Source organism: Homo sapiens, chromosome 11 (assembly GCF_000001405.40).
Source record: "Homo sapiens chromosome 11, GRCh38.p14 Primary Assembly".
Taxonomy (NCBI): Eukaryota; Metazoa; Chordata; class Mammalia; order Primates; family Hominidae; genus Homo; species Homo sapiens.
This window is the reverse complement of record NC_000011.10, coordinates 71,718,642-71,738,806: the sequence shown is the minus strand read 5'-3', so window position 1 is coordinate 71,738,806 and position 20,165 is coordinate 71,718,642. Positions and strand designations below refer to the sequence as shown.

General features: G+C 45.2%; 1 pseudogene, besides 1 other annotated feature; it reads right to left on the bottom strand.

Moving 5' to 3' along the window:
* Positions 1 to 16,664, bottom strand: part of ENPP7P8 (ectonucleotide pyrophosphatase/phosphodiesterase 7 pseudogene 8) — a 58,172-nt pseudogene extending 41,508 nt beyond the window's left edge.
* Positions 3,321 to 4,194: an enhancer, noted in NCBI's record as "OCT4-NANOG hESC enhancer chr11:71445659-71446532 (GRCh37/hg19 assembly coordinates)". NCBI's record gives its function as "activates a minimal SCP1, AML or CMV promoter by ChIP-STARR-seq in naive H9 embryonic stem cells {active_cell/tissue: H9 hESC(naive)}" and the evidence as "EXISTENCE:reporter gene assay evidence [ECO:0000049][PMID:30033119]".

Sequence of the window (20,165 nt, the reverse complement as noted above, 5' to 3'; positions counted from 1 at the left end):
ATAAGGCATTTAGGTTTTAGGTCAGGTGTGAGTTGAAGAGGTTTTAGGTTTTGAAGAACACAGGCTAATGGAGAAGAAAGGGGAATGGAGGGTGGAAGCTTGCCCATAGTGAAGGAGGCAAGCCTAGAGAAAAGAGAGAGTAGAGACACAAAGAGAAGGGGTGGGGTGGTCTTGCCTTCCAGAAAAGCAGGAAATGGGTTGGGGCACAGAAATACAGGGTTGGGGTGCAGAGATAGGAGGTCAGGTTGTGGAAATAAGGGATCAGGGCACAGAGATAAGAGGGCGGGGCATGGAAATAAGGGATCAGGGTGCAGAGATAAGAGGGCGGGGTTCCTGTGCCTCCCCCAGAAAAGTGGGACTTGCTGCTAAGGGTGAAGGAGAAGGGGTTGAGGGGTTCTTGCTTCTCCCCAAGAAAAGCGGGACTTGCTGCTAAGGGTGAAGGACCAAGGCAGGTGTCCCTGCGTGGTCTGACACCTCTGAAACCTGGGTGAATAATCAGAGAGGCGTCCCTGCAATGATTAAACGCCAAGGGAAGGCTGCCTTCCCTAGTCCATGACCGGCACCGGAGTTTTGGGTCCACAGATAAAATGTGTCTCCTTGGTCTCTACTGGAAAATGAAAGGAATTGAAATTAAGAGAAGGGAGAGATTGAAGTGTGGTGCAAAGATTGAAAGGAGAAAGAGGTTGAAGGATAGTGAGGGAGGTTGGAGAAGAGAGTAAAAAGAAGCTGCTTCCCAGATTTGAAATTGGTGAGATGTTTCTTGGGCTGGTCAGTCTGAGGACCTGAGGTCGTAGGTGGATCTTTCTCACAGAGCAAAGAGCAGGAGGACAAGGGATTGATCTCCCAAGGGAGGTCCCCCAATCCGAGTCATGGCACCAAATTTCACATGCATCCGTGTGAAGAGACCACCAAACAGGCTTTGTGTGAGCAATAAAGCTGTTTATTTCACCTGGGTTCAGGTGGGCTGAGTCCAAAAAGAGAGTCAGTGAAGGGAGATGGGGTGGGGCCATTTTATAGGATTTGGGTAGGTAAACGAAAAAAGGGGGTTGTTCTCTGGCAGACAGGAGTGGGGGTCACAAGGTGCTCAGTAGGGGAGCTTTTGAGCCAGGATGAGCAAGGAGAAGGAATTTCACAAGATAATGTCATCAGTTAAGGCAGGAACCGGCCATCTGGATGTGTACATGCAGGTCACAGGGGATATGATGGCTTAGGTTGGGCTCAGAGGCCTGACACTCTTCCTCCAGAGGAGGAGACCCAGACAGAAGAGGAGAAGAGAAAGAGGCAAGGTGATCACAGAGGCAGAGATTGGATCATGCAGCCACAAGTTGAGGAATTCTAGTAGCCTCTATAAGCTGGAAGACGCAAGGAATGGATTCTCTCCTAGAACCTCTGAAAGGAGCATGCTCCTGCTGACCTTTGATCAATTTTGGACTTCTGGCCTCCAGATAATCTTTTTTTTTTTTTTTTTTTTTTTTTTTAGACAGAGGCTTGCTCTGTTGCCCAGTCTGGAGTGCAGTGGCACGATCTCAGTTCACTGCAACCTCCACCTCCCAGGCTCAAGCCATTCTCTTGCTTCAGCCTCCCAAGAAGTGGGGACTACCGGTGCCTGCCACCATGCATGGCTAATTTTTGTATTTTTAGTAGAGACGAGGTTTTGCCATATTGGCCAGGCTGGTCTCGAATTCCTGGCCTCAAGTGATCCACCCACCTCAGCTTTCCAAAGTCCTAAGATTATTTAGGTGTGAGCCATGGCACCCGGCCCAGACATTGTTTGAAGCCACCCATTTCATGGTTCTTTGCTGCAGTGGTTGTGGAATATGAATGCACTCGTGCTGTTGGTTAGACTTTGCTGACCTTGTGTCTGTTATTCCCTGGCAGTTCTACAAGGCCTGGAGCTGATACGAAAAACCTCCCTTCTTTCCCAAATGGTCCCCAGCTTCCCCGTTCACTGAAGGCCCTGCAGTCAGGAACAGTCAGGACTTTGCACCCAGTTGTTGTGGGTGTTTGACCGACCCTTCCTCTTTTGTGATTCATGGACCCTTAGCATTGCATCACCTGGGAGCTTTTGGAATTGAAGACTCTCAGGGCTCACCCGGAAGGACCTCCTGGGCCAGAATCTGCATTTTAACAAGATGCCCAGGTGATTTGCATACATGTTCAGCTCTGAGAAGCTCTAGTAGGAGAGGCTTTAAGGTGGTAATTAGATCTTTTCTCCACCTGCAAGAATCTTAGTTTCTTCATGTTAAATCTATTAACTGTGGCAATGTCATGGGTGTTATAAAACAAAACAAAATCCTTACATCAAGAATGCACCCTGGTGTGTTATGGATATGGGTGAAATGAAATGTCTGGAATTTGCTTTAAAATGTCCTAAAATAGCAAGAAGGAAAAGAAAAGTGGGAACTGGAATGAGATTGGAGAAATGTTGACAAGTTCTTCCAGTGGGATGATGGGTGCATGGGGGTTCATGGTATAATTCTCTCCCTGCTTTTTGTGTATATGGGAAATTTCCATAATGAAAAGTTAGAGGTCGGGCACGGTGGCTCATGCCTGTAATCTCAGCATTTTGGGAGGCTGAGGTGGGTAGACTGCTTGAACCTAGGAGTTAAAGACCATCCTGGACAACATGGTGAAACCCCATCTCTACTAAAAATGCAAAAATTAGGCATGGTGACAACATGCCTGTAGTCATGTTGAGGCACAAGGTTGAGACATGAGAATCACTTGAACCCAGGAGGCGGAGGTTGCAGTGAGCCAAGATCGCACCATTTCACTCCAGCCTGGGTGACAGAGTGAGACTTGGTCTCAAAAAAATTTTTAATTTTCTTTTTTTTTTGAGATGGGTTCTTGCTCTTTTGCCCAGGCTGGAGTGTAGTGGTGTGATCTTGGCTCACTGCAAGCTCCACCTCCCGAGGTCACTCCATTCTTCTGCTTCAGCCTCCAGAGTAGCTGGGACTATAGGTACCCAGCACCATGTCCGGCTACTTGTTTGTATTTTTAGTAGAGATGGGGTTTCACCGTGTTAGCCAGGATGGTCTCAATCTCCTCACCTCGTGATCTGCCCACCTTGGCCTCCCAAAGTGCTGGGATTACAGGAATGAGCCATCGTGCCCAGCCTTAATTTTGTTTAATTTTTTTCTTTTTTGAGACAGGATCTGTAGCCCAGGCTGGAGTGCAGTGGTACGATCCCTGCTCACTGCAGCTTCTACCTCCTGGGTTCAAGCGATCCTCCCACCCCAGCCTCCCAAGTAGCTGAGACCACAGGCATGTATCACCACACCTGGCTAATTTTTTCCCTTTTTCTAGAGGCAAGGTCTTGCTATCTTGCCCAGGCTGGTCTTAAACTCCTGAGTTCAAGCAATCTTCCCATCTCAGCCCGGGAGTAATCCCAAAGTGCTGGGATTACAGGTGCGAGTCACTCTACCCAGCCTCAACTGTTTTTCATGACTCCACTTTTTCTCCCCTCTTGGAAATGAGTAGTCTTTGAGGGAATGTCTTTTTTGTCTCAATCTCTGGTTTCTTTACTCAGTGCACCTGCGTTTGGGGCTTTGTTGCTCTCCAGGCCTTTTTCAGCAGCGTTGTCCCTGGAGGGCAGGATGGCAGCTGATTGCTTCTCAGCATCTTTTAACTCAGTTTAAAGATGACTATCAACAACATCTAGTCAGCATCTGTTGCTCTCGGCAGCTGGGACTTCATTTCTTTTATCTTTCTCCACCTCTCTAATCTCTTTAAGTCTCTGTCTTTGTCATGGATACAGCATCACCTGTGTGGCCCTTAGGCTCTCTTACTTACATGTGATTTGCGTATTATGTCTTTACTTCAGGACTTCTCAACCAGGGGGTGATTTTGCCCCCCAGAGAACATGTGACCATGTCTGGAGACAATTTTGGTTGTTGCAGCTGGAGGAGGTGGTGCTACTGGCAGCTAATGGGTAGAGGCCAGTGATGCTGCTAAACATCCTACAATTCCCTGGACAAATCCCACTAAGACAAAATAATGATCCAGCCCCAAAGGTCAATAGTGCTGAAAGTGAGAGACCCTGATTCCATCTTAGAGATCATCCAAGCACACTTGGCCAAATTGTTTTTGCTACTGTCCCATGAAGAAAAGGCAGACTCATGACTGATGGCAACATCGATGGGAATTTTGTTTACCTCTTCTTTGTGGACCTTGGGATACGATGACTTACCATTTGTGCAAGTTGTGCATTGCATACCTCCAGGGGGCGCCACCCACATATTTATGAAAATGCCACCCCAGGAATTGCATAGTACATAGTCTACATGGCAATAAGCAGTTGCTCTGGTTTTGGGGTTGCCCTGGGGTGCTCTGGAACTGGGAGGAAATTTATTTCTGGCCATTAGAGGCCCTGAGCATGACATTGAGTATCCTTTCAAGAAAGGAGAAATGTTGAACAGAGAGGACCTCATTTTTATAACTCTTGACCATCATCTAGTTACGGAGCATCCACTTTTCACCCCTGGGCCATATCCATTTGACGGATGAAAAATCATCAAATTATAATATCATGGCTTATACTTTTGATAGCTTCTGCCCGGAACATGGCGGTAACAGCTTCTCATTTTCAATTGATTCATTGGGGGAGAAAATATACACGGCTGCCCTAAGACTTTCTATTACATACCATTTGTTTGACGGGATTTCTTTAGTTTCTGTAGCATAACTTATTCTAACTGGTCCTCAATCACTTTGCAATAAAACCTGAGATTGTGAAGATGTTCATTGTCATTTCCAGTGACGGAGCAGTAAGTACAGAGTTCTGGAGAGGGAAGGAATCGAGAGAGTTAAACTAGCAGAATGAGCCGCTCACCCTCAGAATTGCTTTTAGTCTTGGTGAGAACTGAGGGGAATTTTGACAGGGTTCAGGGGGACTGCGTGGAGTGGGGCTGGGAAGTGGCTGTTTGCACGTGTGGTCAGCAAATCCAGTGAGGGGGTCCATGTACTGTGGGCAGCCCCGCAGATGGAGTTGGGATTGCCCTAGACTGAGTACTGGGTCATCAGTACTCAAGACATTGAGGCCCAGGCTGGTGCAGGAGATACAATGCACTGCTTCAGCCTTTCTTCTATCGCTCCTCTCCAATGACAGTCCCCGATTTTCCACCGAGGAGTCACTAGTCCCCCACGACATGTGTGCGACTGGCCATTCCCCACCCTGATCTGGAGCTGGGGCATGTGGTCCCAGCCTGGATGTCAGTATCCTTCCACCACCCTGGCCACAGTGATTGGGTCTGAGAAGCAGATTAGCCAAAGGAGAAACAATCTTGGAAATTTCATGTTCATTCTTAAGAAAGTAAAATGGAAAGCGGGGGGAGGGTGAGGGGTCATTCTGATGATTTAGTTTTAGGACCTGGATGTAGCCACACCTGTAGCTGTCAACTCTGTGCCATAGTACTGCTTTTTTTTTTTTTCCTTCAAATTTAAATAGTTTCTAAAGGCAAGGTCTTGCTATGTTGCTTAGGCTGGTTTTGAAAAGTCCTTTTTGGGGGGATGCTTTCACTGCTTCACTTCCTTTCTATGACAGCTCAGGGAATCAGAAGACAAGGGAGATTTTTTTTTTTTTTTTTTTTTTTTTGGTTGAGACAGGGCTTGCTCTGTTGTCCAGGCTGGAGTGCAGTGGTGCAATCACTTCTCGCCACAGACTTGATCTTCTGGACTCAAGCGACCCTCCTGCTTCAGCCTCCTGAGTAGCTGGGACTGTAGGTGGGTACCAACATGCCCAGTTAATTAAATTTTTTTTTTTTTTTTAGAAGTGAGATCTCACTATGTCACCCAGGCTGGCCTCAAACTCCTGGGCTCAAGTGATCGCCCTGCCTTAGCTTCCCAAACATACAGGTGTGAGCCCCCACACCAGTCAACGCTGTGGTTTTATGCACCTGGTGCCCCCCTACGCCCTGAGCAATGATCCTCCTGCTTCAACCTCCCAAAGTGCTGGGATAACAGATGTGAAGCAGCACGTGTGGCCCACATAGTATTCTTATGGGTTAAATTGAGTCCTCCTCAAAACATGTTGAAATCCTGAATTCTAGTAGCTCAGAATGTGACCTTATTTAGAAATAGAGTTATTGCGGGTCAGGCGTGGTGGCTCACGCCTGTAATCCCAGCACTTTGGGAGGCCAAGGCAGGCGGATCACCTGAGGTCAGGAGTTTGAGACCAGCCTGACCAACATGGAGAAACCCCTTCTCTACTAAAAATTCAAAATTACCTGGGTGTGTTGGCACACACCTGTAATCCCAGCTACTCAGGAGGCTGAGGCAGGAGAATTGCTTGAACTCAGGAGACAGAGGTTGCATTGAGCTGAGATCGCGCTATTGCACTCCAGCCTGGGCAACAAGAGTGAAACTCCGTCTCAAAAAAAAAAAAAAAAAAAAAAGAAAGAAAGAAAGAAAGAAGGAAAGAAATAGGGTTATTGCAGATGCTATTGATTAGGATGAAGTCGTCCTGGAGTAGGGAGGGCCCAAGTCAATGACTGGTGTCCTTATAAAAGAGGAGAGGACACGCCGAGTCATAGAGACACAGGGAAGAAGGCCATGGATTGGACGGAAGATTGGACTGATGCGTATGCAAACCAAGAAACACTGAAGACTGCCAGGAGACCACAGGAAGCTACGAAGAGGCAAGGCAGGACTCCCCGACAAGTGCAGGAGGGAGCATGGCCCTGCTGGCACCTCCGTTTCAGACTGCTGGCTACCAGAGCCACAAGACAATCAATTTCTCTGGTTTCAAGTCACCCAGCTTTTGGTACTTGGTTGTGGCATCCCTAGGGAATGAATATAAGTACTTTCTCTTTTTTTTTTCTTTTTTTGAGATGGAGTCTCGCTCTGTTGCCCAGGCTGGAGTGCAGTGGTGAGATCTCGGCTCACTGCAGGCTCCGCCTCCTGGGTTCATGCCATTCTCCTGCCTCAGCCTCCTGAGTAGCTGGGACTACAGGCGCCCGCCACCACGCCCAGCTAATTTTTTGTATTTTTAATAGAGACAAGATTTCACCGTGTTAGCCAGGATGGTCTCCATCTCCTGACCTCATGATCCGCCTGCCTCAGTCTCCCAAAGTGCTGCGATTACAGGCATGAGCCACCACGCCCGGCCGAATATAAGTACTTTTAAATTAACTCTCCTCTTCTCTCCGTCTTCTTCTAAATCATCATTTTTGCCTAAGCAACAGCTAGGGTCTAATATGGATGTGACGACTCACCTCAAAGTGGGGTAAGCCCCCATGTGCACCAAAAGCTCCTGCTGCCTTGGCCCTGGGTTCAGAGAGTGGACCATCATTCTGGAGGCTTGCTGGAGATCTGAGCCAGGCCACAATTCTCTGTTGCCTTTAAACAAAGGCTGGTGCTCGCCCAGGCATGTAAGCTCCACCGAGGATCTATTTGGAAGACAGAATTCTGAGATGACCCCTTAGGTTCTTGCCCTGGATAAATGCCAGGTGTAATCTCCTCTCCCCTGGAGTGTAGGCAGGACCCATGGCTTGCTTCTAATCTATACCTATGAAAAAGTTGAAGGAATTTTGCAGATGTAACTAAGCCCCTAATCCATTCACTTTGAGTTAATCAAAAGGGAGATTATTCAGGGTGGGCCTGACATCTTCAGGTGAGATCTTCAATGAAGGTCTGGAGGAGAGAGACTCCTTCCTCCTGGTTTTTGTTTTTTGTTTGTTTGTTTGTTTTTGACATGGAGTCTCACTCTGTTGCCCAGGCTGGAGTGCAGTGGTACGATCTCGGCTTACTGCAACCTCTGCCTCCTGGGTTCAAGTGATTCTCCTTGAGAATCATGCCCGGCTAAGTTATGTAGAGATGGGGTTTCACCATATTGGCCAGGCTGGTCTCGAACTCCTGACATCAGGTGATCCACCTGCCTCGGCCTCCGAAAGTGCTGGGATTACAGGCGTGAGCCACCATGCCTGGCTGGTTTTGAAGAAGCCAGCCACATGAGTTCCACAGTTGCATGGAAATAAATTCTGCCAACAACCATGTGAGGTTGGGAGAAGACCCCAAGCCTCATATGACACACTAATTCCAGCCGGCACCTTGATCACAACCTTGTAAGAACCTGAGCAGAGGACCCAGCTAAAGCTGCACCCCCAGACTCATGACCCACAGGAAAGGAGAGGTAATAGATGGATGTTTTAAGCTGCTAAATTTGTGTTGATTTGTTATGCAGCTTAGAAAATGAATACATCATTCCATTTTTAAAAAATCATAAGCTAATCACACCATTCGATTTCTTTTTTTTTTTTTTTTCAGACAGAGTCTCACTCTATCGCCCAGGCTGGAGTTCAATTGCACAATCTTGGCTCACTGTAACCTCTGCCTCCCAGGTTCAAGTGATTCCCTTGCCTCAGCTCCCCAAGTAGCTGGGACTACAGGCAAGCACAACCACCCCCAGCTAATTTTTATATTTTTAGTAGAGATGGAGTTTCACCATTTTGGCCAGGCTGGTCTCGAACTCCTGACCTCAAGTGACCTGCCTGCCTCAGCCTCCCAAAGTGCTGGGGTTACTGACATGAGCCACCGCACCCGGCCTGACACACCACTCAACTTTAAGGAACTTCCAGGTGCTGTGGTCATGCCCTTCTTGTGTGGCATGCAGGTGGGGAGAGATGGGTTGGAAGATGACTGGATGGGGGCATGGAGCTAGGTGGGAAGAGGAAAAGTGTCTTGAAGGAAGTAAGTCCCTTCAGATAAGGGAGGGAGAAGCTTGATCAATATGCAGACTTTCACAGTCCTTCAGTCCTGGGGATATTGGTGGAGGGACAAGTCTTGCCTTATATTTGAGAGTTACCATCCCAGGCAGAGTCCCTACTTCCACATTCTTGCAGGTGGGGCTGGGGAGCAAATACTTAGAGGAGAAACGAACACCCTTTGTAAGCATGTGAAAAGTTTCTGGAGTGGAGAGATGATGAAGCAGGATATTTGGAGTCAACAGCCAAAGTTTTTATTTTATATTTTATTTTTTATTATACTTTAAGTTTTAGGGTACATGTGCACAACGTGCAGGTTTGTTACATATGCATACATGTGCCATGTTGGTGTGCTGTACCCATTAACTCGTCATTTAACATTAGGTATATCTCTTAATGCTATTCCTCCCCCCTCCCCTGACCCCACAACAGGCCCCAGTGTGTGATGTTCCCCTTCCTGTGTCCGTGTGTTCTCATTGTTTAATTCCTACCTGTGAGTGAGAACATGCGGTGTTTGGTTTTTTGTCCTTGCAATAGTTTGCTGAGAATGATGGTTTCCAGCTTCATCCATGTCTCTACAAAGGACGTAAACTCATCATTTTTTATGGCTGCATAGTATTCCATGGTGTATATGTGCCACATTTTCTTAATCCAGTCTATCGTTGTTGGACATTTGGCTTGGTTCCAAGCCTTTGCTATTGTGAATAGTGCCATTATAAACATACGTGTGCATGTGTCTTTATAGCAGCATGATTTATAATCCTTTGGGTATATACCCAGTAATGGGATGGCTGGGTCAAATGGTATTTCTAGTTCTAGATCCCTGAGAAATTGCCACACTGAATTCCACAATGGTTGAACTAGTTTACAGTCCCACCAACAGTGTAAAAGTGTTCCTATTTCTCCACATCCTCTTCAGCACCTGTTGTTTCCTGACTTGTTAATGATCGCCATTCTAACTGGTGTGAGATGGTATCTCATTGTTGTTTTGACTTGCATTTCTCTGGCCAGGGATGATGAGCATTTTTTTCAAGTGTCTTTTGGCTGCATAAATGTCTTCTTTTGAGAAGTGTCTGTTCATATCCTTTGCCCACTTTTTGATGGGATTGTTTGTTTTTTTCTTGTAAATTTATTGGAGCTCATTGTAGATTCTGGATATTAGCCCTTTGTCAGATGAGTAGATTGCAAAAAATTTCTCCCATTCTGTAGGTTGCCTGTTCACTCTGATGGTAGTTTCTTTTGCTGTGCAGAAGCTCTTTAGTTTAATTAGATCCCATTTGTTAATTTTGGTTTTTCTTGCCATTGCTTTTGGTGTTTTAGACATGAAGTTCTTGCCCATGCCTATATCCTGAATGGTATTGCTGAGGTTTTCTTCTAGGGTTTTTATGGTTTTAGGTCTAATATTTAAGTCTTTAATCCATCTTGGATTAATTTTTGTATAAGGTGTAAGGAAGGGATCCAGTTTCAGCTTTCTACATATGGCTAGCCAGTTTTCCCAGCACAATTTATTAAATAGGGAATCCTTTCCCCATTGCTTGTTTTTGTCAGGTTTGTCAAAGATCAGATGGTTGTAGATATGTGGCATTATTTCTGAGGGCTCTGTTATGTTCCATTGGTCTATATCTCTGTTTTTGTACCAGTACCATGATGTTTTGATTACTGTAGGCTTGCAGTATAGTTTGAAGTCAGGTAGCGTGGTGTCTCCAGCTTTGTTCTTTTGGCTTAGGATTGACTTAGCAATGTGGGCTCTTTTTTGGTTCCATATGAACTTTAAAGCAGTTTTTTCCAATTCTGTGAAGAAAGTCATTGGTAACTTGATGGGGATGGCATTGAATCTATAAATTACCTTGGGCAGTATGTCCATTTTCACGATATTGATTCTTCCTACCCATGAGCATGGAATGTTATTCCATTTGTTTGTGTCCTCTTTTATTTCTTTGAGCAGTGGTTTATAGTTCTCCTTGAAGAGGTCCTTCACCTCCCTTGTAAGTTGGATTCATAGGTATTTTATTCTCTTTGAAGCAATTGTGAATGGGAGTTCACTCATGATTTGGCTCTCTGTTTGTCTGTATTGGTATATAAGAATGCTTGTGATTTTTGCACATTGATTTTGTATCCTGAGACTTTGCTGAAGTTGCCTATCAGCTTAAGGAGATTTTGGGCTGAGACAATGGGGTTTTCTAGATATACAATCATGCCACCTGAAAACAGGTACAATTTGACTTCCTCTTTTCTTAATTGAATACCCTTTATTTCCTTCTCCTGCCTGATTGCCCTGGCCAGAACTTCCAACACTGTTGAATAGGAGTGGTAAGAGAGGGCATCCCTGTGTTGTGCCAGTTTTCAAAGGGAATGCTTCTAGTTTTTGCCCATTCAGTATGATATTGGCTGTGGGTTTGTCATAGATAGCTCTTATTATTTTGAGATACGCCCCATCAATACTTAATTTATTGAGAGTTTTTAGCATAAAGGTTGTTGAATTTTGTCACAGGCCTTTTCTGCATCTAATGAGATAATCGTATGCTTTTTGTCATTGTTTCTGTTTATATGCTGGATTATGTTTACTGATTTGAATATGTTGAACCAATCTTGCATCCCAGGGAGGAAGCCCACTTGATCATGGTGGATAAGTTTTTGATGTGCTGCTGGATTCAGTTTGCCAGTATTTTATAGAGGATTTTTGCATCGAAGTTCATCAGGGATATTTGTCTAAAATTCTCTTTTTTGGTTGTGTCTCTGCCGGGCTTTGGTATCAAGATGATGCTGGCTTCATAAAATGAGTTAGGTAGGATTCCCTCTTTTTCTATTATTTGGAATAGTTTCAGAAGGAATGGTACCAGCTCCTCCTTGTACCTCTGGTAGAATTCGGCTGTGAATCCGTCTGGTCCTGGACTTTTTTTGGTTGGTAAGCTATTAATTATTGCCTCAATTTCAGAGCCTGTTATTGGTCTATTCAGAGATTCAACGTCTTCCTGGTTTAGCCTTGGGAGGGTGTACGTGTCGAGGAATTTATCCATTTCTTCTAGATTTTCTAGTTTATTTGCATAGAGGTGTTTATACTATTCTCTGATGGTAGTTTGTATTTTTCTGGGATTGCTGGTGATATCCCCTTTATCAGTTTTTATTGTGTCTATTTGATTCTTCTTTCTTTTCTTCTTTATTAGTCTTGCTAGTGGTCTATCAATTTTGTTGATCTTTTCAAAAAACCAGCTTCTGGATTCATGGATTTTTTGAAGGGCTTTTTGTGCCTCTATTTCCTTCAGTTCTGCTCTGATCTTAGTTATTTCTTGCCTTCTGCTAGCTTTTGAATGTGTTTGCTCTTTGCTTCTCTAGTTCTTTTAATTGTGATGTTAGAGTGTCAATTTTAGATCTTTCCTGTTTTCTCTTGTGGGCATTTAGTGCTATAAATTTCCCTCTACACACTGCTTTGAATGTGTCCGAGAGATTCTGGTATGTTGTGTCTTTGTTCTTGTTGGTTTCAAAGAACACCTTTATTTCTGCCTTCATTTCATTATGTACCCAGTAGTCATTCAGGAGCACGTTGTTCAGTTTTCATGTAGTTGAGTAGTTTTGAGTGAGTTTCTTAATCCTGAGTTCTAGTTTGATTGCACTGTGGTCTGAGAGACAGTTTGTTATAATTTCCGTTGTTTTACATTTGCTGAAGAGTGCTTCACTTCCAAATATGTGGTCAATTTTGGAATAAGTGTGGTGTGGTGCGGAGAAGAATGTATATTCTGTTGATTTGGGGTGGAGAGTTCTGTAGATGTCTATTAGGTCCACGTGGTGCAGAGCTGAGTTCAATTCCTGGATATCCTTGTTAACTTTCTGTCTCGTTGATCTGTCTAATGTTGACAGTGGGGTGTTAAAGTCTCCCATTATTATTGTGTGGGAGTCTAAGTCTCTTTGTAGGTCTCTAAGGACTTGCTTTTTGAATCTGGGTGCTCCTGTATTGGGTGCCTATATATTTAGGATAGTTAGCTCTTCTTGTTGAATTGATCCCTTTACCATTATGTAATGGCCTTCTTTGTCTTTTTTAATCTTTGTTGGTTTAAAGTCTGTTTTATCAGAGACTAGGATTGCAACACCTGCCTTTTTTTGTTTTCCATTTGCTTGGTAGATCTTCCTCCATCCCTTTATTTTGAGCCTATGTGTGTCTCTGCACATGAGATGGGTTTCCTGAATACAGCACACTGATGGGTCTTGACTCTTTATCCAATTTGCCAGTCTGTCTTTTAATCGGAGAATTTAGCCCATTGACATTTAAGGTTCATATAGTTATGTGTGAATTTGATCCTGTCATTATGATGTTAGCGGGTTATTTTGCTCATTAGTTAATGCAGTTTGTTCCTAGCCTTGATGGTCTTTACAATTTGGCATGTTTTTGCAGTGGCTGGTACTGATTGTTCCTTTCAATGTTTAGTGCTTCCTTCAGGAGCTCTTGTAGGGCAGGACTGGTGGTGACAAAATCTCTCAGCATTTGCTTGTCTGTAAAGTATTTTATTTCTCCTTCACTTATGAAGCTTAGTTTGGCTGGATTTGAAATTCTGAGTTGAACATTTTTTTCTTTAAGAATGTTGAATATTGGCCCCCACTCTCTTCTGGCTTGTAGAGTTTCTGCCAAGAGATCAGCTGTTAGTCTGATGGGCTTCCCTTTGTGGGTAACCTGACCTTTCTCTCTGGCTGCCCTTAACATTTTTTCCTTCATTTTAACTTTGGTGAATCTGACAATTATCTGTCTTGGAGTTGCTCTTCTTGAGGAGTATCTTTGTGGTGTTCTCCATATTTCCTGAATTTGAATGTTGGCCTGCCTCGCTAGATTGGGGAAGTTCTCCTGCATAATATCCTGCAGAGTGTTTTCCAACTTGGTTCCATTCTCACTGTCACTTTCAGGTACACCAATCAGACGTAGATTTGGTCTTTTCACATAGTCCCATATTTCTTGGAGGCTTTGTTCATTTCTTTTTATTCTTTTTTCTCTAAGCTTTTCTTCTTGCTTCATTTCATTCGTTTCATCTTCCATCACTGATACCCTTTCTTCCAGTTGATCGAATCGGCTACTGAGGCTTGTGCATTTGTCACGTAGTTCTCGTGCCTTGGTTTTCAGCTCCATCAGGTCCTTTAAGGACTTCTCTGCATGGGTTATTCTAGTTAGCCATTCGTCTAATTTTTTTTCAAGGTTTTTAACTTCTTTGCCATGGGTTCGAACTTCCTCCTTTAGCTCGGAGTAATTTAATCGTCTGAAGCCTTCTTCTCTCAACTTGTCAAAGTTATTCTCTGTCCAGCTTTGTTCCATTGCTGGTGAGGAGCTGCATTCCTTTGGAGGAGGAGAGGCACTCTGATTTTTAGAGTTTCCAGTTTTTCTGCTCTGTTTTTTCCCCATCTTTGTGGTTTTATCTACCTTTGGTCTTTGATGATGGTGACGTACAGATGGGGTTTTAATGTGGATGTCTTTTCTGTTTGTTAGTTTTCCTTCTAAGAGTCAGGACCCTCAGCTGCAGGTCTGTTGGAGTTTGCCTGGGTGTCAGCAGTGGAGGCTGCAGAACAGCGGATATTGGTGAGCAGCAAATGTTGCTGCCTGATTGTTCCTCTGGAAGTTTTGTCTCAGAGGGGTACCTGGCCATGTGAGATGTCAGTCTGCCCCTACGGGGAGGTGCCTCCAGTTAGGCAACTCGGGGGTCAGGGACCCACTTGAGGAGGCAGTGTGTCCATTCTCAGATCTCCAGCTGTGTGCTGGGAGAACCACTACTCTCTTCAAAGCTGTCAGACAGGGATATTTAAGTCTGCAGAGGATTCTGCTGCCTTTTGTTTGCCAATGCCCTGCCCCCAGAGGTGGAGTCTACAGAGGCAGGCAGACCTCCTTGAGCTGTGGTGGGCTCCACCCAGTTGGAGCTTCCCAGCTGCTTTGTTTACCTACTGAAGCCTAGGAAATGGTGGTCGCCCCTCCCCCAGCCTTGCTGTCACCTTGCAGTTTGATCTCAGACTGCTGTGCTAGCAATGAGTGAGGCTCCATGGGTTTAGGACCCTCCGAGCCAGGTGCGGGATATAGTCTCCTGGTGTGCCGTTTGCTAAGACCATTGGAAAAGTGCAGTATTAGGGTGGGAGTGACCCGATTTTCCAGGTGCCATCTGTCACCCGTTTCTTTGACTAGGGAAGGGAATTCTCTGACCCCTTGCACTTCCCGGGTGAGGCAATGCCTCGCCCTGCTTGGGCTCATGCTCAGTGCACTGCACCAAGTGTCCTGCACCCACTTTCTGACACTCCCCAGTGAGATGAACCCAGTACCTCAGTTGGAAATGCAGAAATCACCTGTCTTCTGCGTCGCTCAAGCCAGGAGTTGTAGACTGGAGCTGTTCCTATTCGGCCATCTTGGCTCCACCCCCGCTATTATGATTCTTACACAGAGTACTTTGCTTTCCAGCAGCCTCCTCTTCCTCCTTTTTAGGTTGGAATCCCTCTATTTTAGTGGCCACTGGGATTCTGAAATGACCAGGTCTTTGTCTCAGAGACCTCACACATGCTCTTCCCTCTGCCTGGAACACTTTTCCTTGCTCTGATCCCCTAAGATCTCTTTCAGCTCAACCGCCCCATGATCAGAGACCCCCTTTCTCCCTCTCTAGCTTGAAGCCAGTTTACCCCTGTAGTCTGTACCTGGAAAACTCGTTTTCCTCCTTGATGCCTCCTGAGTTGTCACGGGATGTATGTGCCTGTTTGGGTGTCTGGTGTCTGTCTCCCTGACTGGACTGCATGCTCCTGGTGAGCTGGAGGGACTGGACTAGCGCAGGCCAAGGCCCTGGGGCTGGAGGGAGCAGGGCAGAAGGCACAGGCAAAAGGCCTTTGTGATCCGGAAGGAAGTGAAGGAGAGGGAGAGAGATGAGAGAGGCTGGCAGAAGATGGGCCAGGGGCCAGTCTGCGTGGGATCTTTTGAGCCACAGAAAGACATTTCAATTCTTATGTAAGAGAACCAGGACACCATTGGAGGGTATGAGTCACCTCATCTAACTGAGCTCTGTAAATGTCAATGTTTTATTATTTTTATACAATTATTTAAAAGTGATTCTAGTTATTTACCTTTTTATTTTTATTACTTTTATTTTTTTTTTGAGACAAAATCTTGCTCTGTTGCCCAAACTGGAGTGCAATGGCATGATCTCAGCTCATTTCATCTTCCACCTCCTGGGTTCAAGTGATTCTCCTGTATCAGACTCCCGAGTAGCTGTCGTTACAGGCATCTGCCACCATGCCCAGCTTATTTTTGTATTTTTAGGATAGACGATGTTTCACCATGTTGGCCAAGCTGGTCTTGAACTCCTGACCTCAGGTGATCCACCCGCATCAGCCACCCAAAGTGCTGGGATTACAGGGGTGAGTCACCATGCTCGGCCTTATTTACTTTTTTAAAAAAGATCAGGCCAGTCACAGTAGCTCATGTCTCCAATCTCAGCCTTTGGGAGGCTGAGGTGGGATGATCACTTGAGGCCAGGAGTTCGAAACCAGCCCAGGCAACATAGTGAGACACCCCCTGCCCCAATTTCTAAGAAAATGAGAAAATTAGACACGGTGGCTTGTCTGTATCCCCAGCTACTGGGGAGCCTGAGCTAGGGAGGACTGCTTGAGAGCAGGAGTTTGAGGCTCCACTGAGCTGTGATTATGCCACTGAGCTACAGCCTGGGCAACAGAGTGAGACCCCGGAGCCGCCTCAACCTCCCTAGAGCTGACCGAGCTTTTGCTTCTTATCACAGGGAATGACGGACGCTGGGGCTTTGATGGGCATCAGGTGAAATGGGCAGAGTGACGCTTACCTGGGATGGCAGTGAGGTGGGACGGGGAGGTCATTGTGACAAGGGGCGGCATGAGGTACTTGGCCTTGACGCCCTCCCCGGCCAGACGGTCCAGGTTGGGGGTGTCCACATCCTGATCCTAGTCCCAGCGGAAGCCCTGGAAGGAGATCAGCAGCAGTTGTGAGTGCTCTTCTTCCCTGGGAGGAGGTGGCCGCCCAGCAGGACAGGCAGCGGTAGCAGCAGCTGGAGGGCGCCGAGCCACGTCATCCCACGAGCACCTGTCATGCACTCCTCACACAGTTCATGGGCTTCTCCCTCTTTAGTCCGTTGTTGAACAAAGTCACATTAATAATTAATTCAGCCCAGCTCTGTTGTGGGACAAACAAACTGGAGTGTAGCAAGGTGCTGCATATTTGCAGGACAGTATGAAAGTGTTCTGGAGATGGGTGGGGGAACATGGCTGTACAATGTGGTGGATGCACTTAACACCACTGAATTTTTCCTTTGAAAATGGCTAAAATAATAGATTTTGTATGTATTTTACCACAGTAAAAAATCAAACTGGCCGGACATGGTGGCTTACACCTGTAATCCCGGCACTTTGAGGCTAAGGCGGGTATATCATTTGAGGTCAGGAGCTCAAGACCAGCCTGTCCAACATGGAGAAACCCCATCTCTACTAAAAATGCAAAAATTAGCCAGGCGTGGCGGTACATGTCTGTAATCTCAGCTACTCGGGAGGCTGAGGCAGGAGAATTGCTTGAACCCAGGAGGCGGAGGTTGCAGTGAGCCGAGATTGCGCCACTGCATTCTGACCTGGACGATGGAACGAGACTGCATTTCCAAAAAAAAAAAAAAAAAAAAAATCAAACCACATGAATATTTTGCACTCTTATACTAATTCCAACATTTCAAGATCTGGGGAGAACAAACTAGATTGGTGCTTTCCTTGGCTTTGTATGTTCTGTTTTTATAGGGAGAGCAAATTATTGTTCACCAGCACTATTAAAATAGCTACAACAGGATGGGCATGGTGGCTCACACCTGTAATCCCAGCACTTTGGGAAGCTGAGGTGGGAGGATCGCTTGAGCCCAGGAGTTCAAGATGCCAGCCTGGGCAACATGGTGAGACCCTGTCACTACCAAAAAATATAACAACAACAACAAATATAGCTAGGTGTGGTTGTGTGCATCTGTAGTCCCAGCTACATGAGAGGCTGAGGTGGGAGGATCACTTGTGCCCAGGAGGTTGAGGCTGCAGTAAGCCATGATTATGCCACTGTACTCAGCCTGGGTGACAGAGTGAGACCCTATATGGAAAAAAAAAATAAAAAGCTGCAGTGGACTCAGTGATCATGAGGCCAGGCACTGTATACATATACATCATCTCATTTAATTTTTTCTTTGTTTAAAATTATTTTTTCCTCTAATCCCCATGTTGATCGACATTTTTTTTAATCCTAGGAATTATTTGAAAATTTCGCATAAGAATTAAAAATTGCCTGGCCTGATGGCTTACACCTGTTATCCCAGCACTTTGGGAGGCTGAGATGAGAGAATCACTTGAAGCCAGGAGTTTGGGCCAGTCTGGGCAATAAAGCGAGAATGCAACTCTATAAAAAAATTTAAAAAGCTGTGTGTGGTAGCGTTCACATGTAGTCCCAGCTACTTGGAAGACTAGGTGGGAGGATTGCTTGAGCCCAGGCGGTAAAGGCAGCAGTGAGCTATGATTGTGCCATTGCACTGCAGCCTGGGTGATGGAGTGAGACTCTCTCTCTAAAATAAATGAATAAAATTGTGGTATAATATATGCAACATTTACCATTTTGTGTATCTGAAAGTGTACAGTTCAGTGACATTTTGTACATTTATCATGTTGTGCAATTGTCACCACTACCTAGTTTCAGGGCTTTTTCAACACCTCAATTGGAAGCCTCATATCCATTCAGCAGTCACTTTGCATATCCCCTCCTGCAGCCCCTGGAAACCCTTCATCTACTTTCTATCTCTGTCGATTGGCTTAGACTGAACATTGCATATAAATGGAATTGTACAATATATGACCTTTCATGTCTGCTTCTTTCACTGAGCATGTTTTTAACGTTCATCCATATCACAACATGGATAAGTTTTGTTTTCTTTTTAGACCCTATCTAAAAAGAAAAAAAAAATTGTAAAACAAAAACAAAAAAATGTATAGGATGGAGATCATATGAGTCCTGCAAAGTTTATATTTACTATCTAGCACTTTACATAGAAGCTTGCCTACCTCTGAATGATATGCAGGTACAGAGATGACATTTATCTTGGCACTTATAGAAAGACCTATAAATTGTATAAAGACATCATCATTGGATTTCCAGTAACAAGAAGCGGCAAGACATGACGGTGTGTCCAGGTGTTCAGGTGAAGTTTAGGGAAGGTCTTGTCTTGATGAGTTCGGATGTGAGACCCAGATGAGATAACCCCATTTCCCCTGCTGAAATTGCCTGAGAATTTCATTCCAGTTATTTGCGTAGGTTGATTCTTTCGGTGGGGGTGGGGTGGGTGAGGAGGTGAAGTGTCCGGGCAGTTCTATTTTGTATTTGCACAACTTGGCTTTCTTTTCACTTGGTGTGGTGTTTTGCTGTATGAGGAATTTCATAGAATTTTGTGATGAGTATGCAGCATAGTGGTTTGAAACCTGCCAGGCTGAGGGCCATATCTCAGCTCTGCAACTCATTATCTGTGACGCCTTGGGGCAGGTCCCTTAACTCTCCAAGCCTCTGTTCTATATTCCATGGGGTTGTGAGGTTCAGATGAAATAATGCATGCTGGCAGGAATGGTTACTGCTCATGGGATTTCCAGGTGCTCCCTGTATTCCCCAGACCCCCTGTAGTTAGATGGATCCATGCCAGGGTCCAAGGCTTTATAAGTGGAAGTCACTGATATCACCTCTAGTCTACAGCTTTTGAGGGCTTGGGAATAACTATCTCATTCTCTCATCTCCTGGTGTAGTAACTATGGGAGAATCCTTGCATTAACATGGTAGAATTTCCATCATTCTAGGTCTTTGAGTGGCCATATGGAGCACACCATACCCAGCCAACCCATTGTGGACATGGAATGTAAGAAATCAACCTTGGTTGCTAAGCTGCTGAGACTCTGGGGTTAATTTGTTACTGCAGCATAACCTGGTCCATCCTGATGCATGCAGCATGCAAACCACTTATGTTGACCCTTAGTCATGGTAAGTGCTCCACAGATGTTGGTTACTTTTGGTAGGAAGATAGATTGCCTCTGAAAGTTGTGTTAGCTGATCTCATGATGCCAATGTTGCTATTTTGTAATTGGATAAATTGGACTTGGCTCTCCTTCCAGCATGTGGGAGAGAAAGATGACTGAGAGACAATAAGGCACTATTATCTTCAGTTTGTGTCCTTGTATACCCTTGGTGGCAATGAACAATGCATGCCCCTCTGAGAAAACTGGACCTAAAGGAGAATGGGAGATGATACCAGAATTGGGAAAGTCCAAGGCCCCAGGCATTCCCTGGTCTGGAGACAACTTTGACTCCTTGGTGGGAAGATTCTCCAAGGGAACATAAATGTTTCTACTATCTAGTTTGTCTCTTTGAGAATTAAAACTTTTTTTTTCATTCCAGTAGCTTTTGGGGTACAGTTTGGCTCTTTGAGAATTGCATACTAA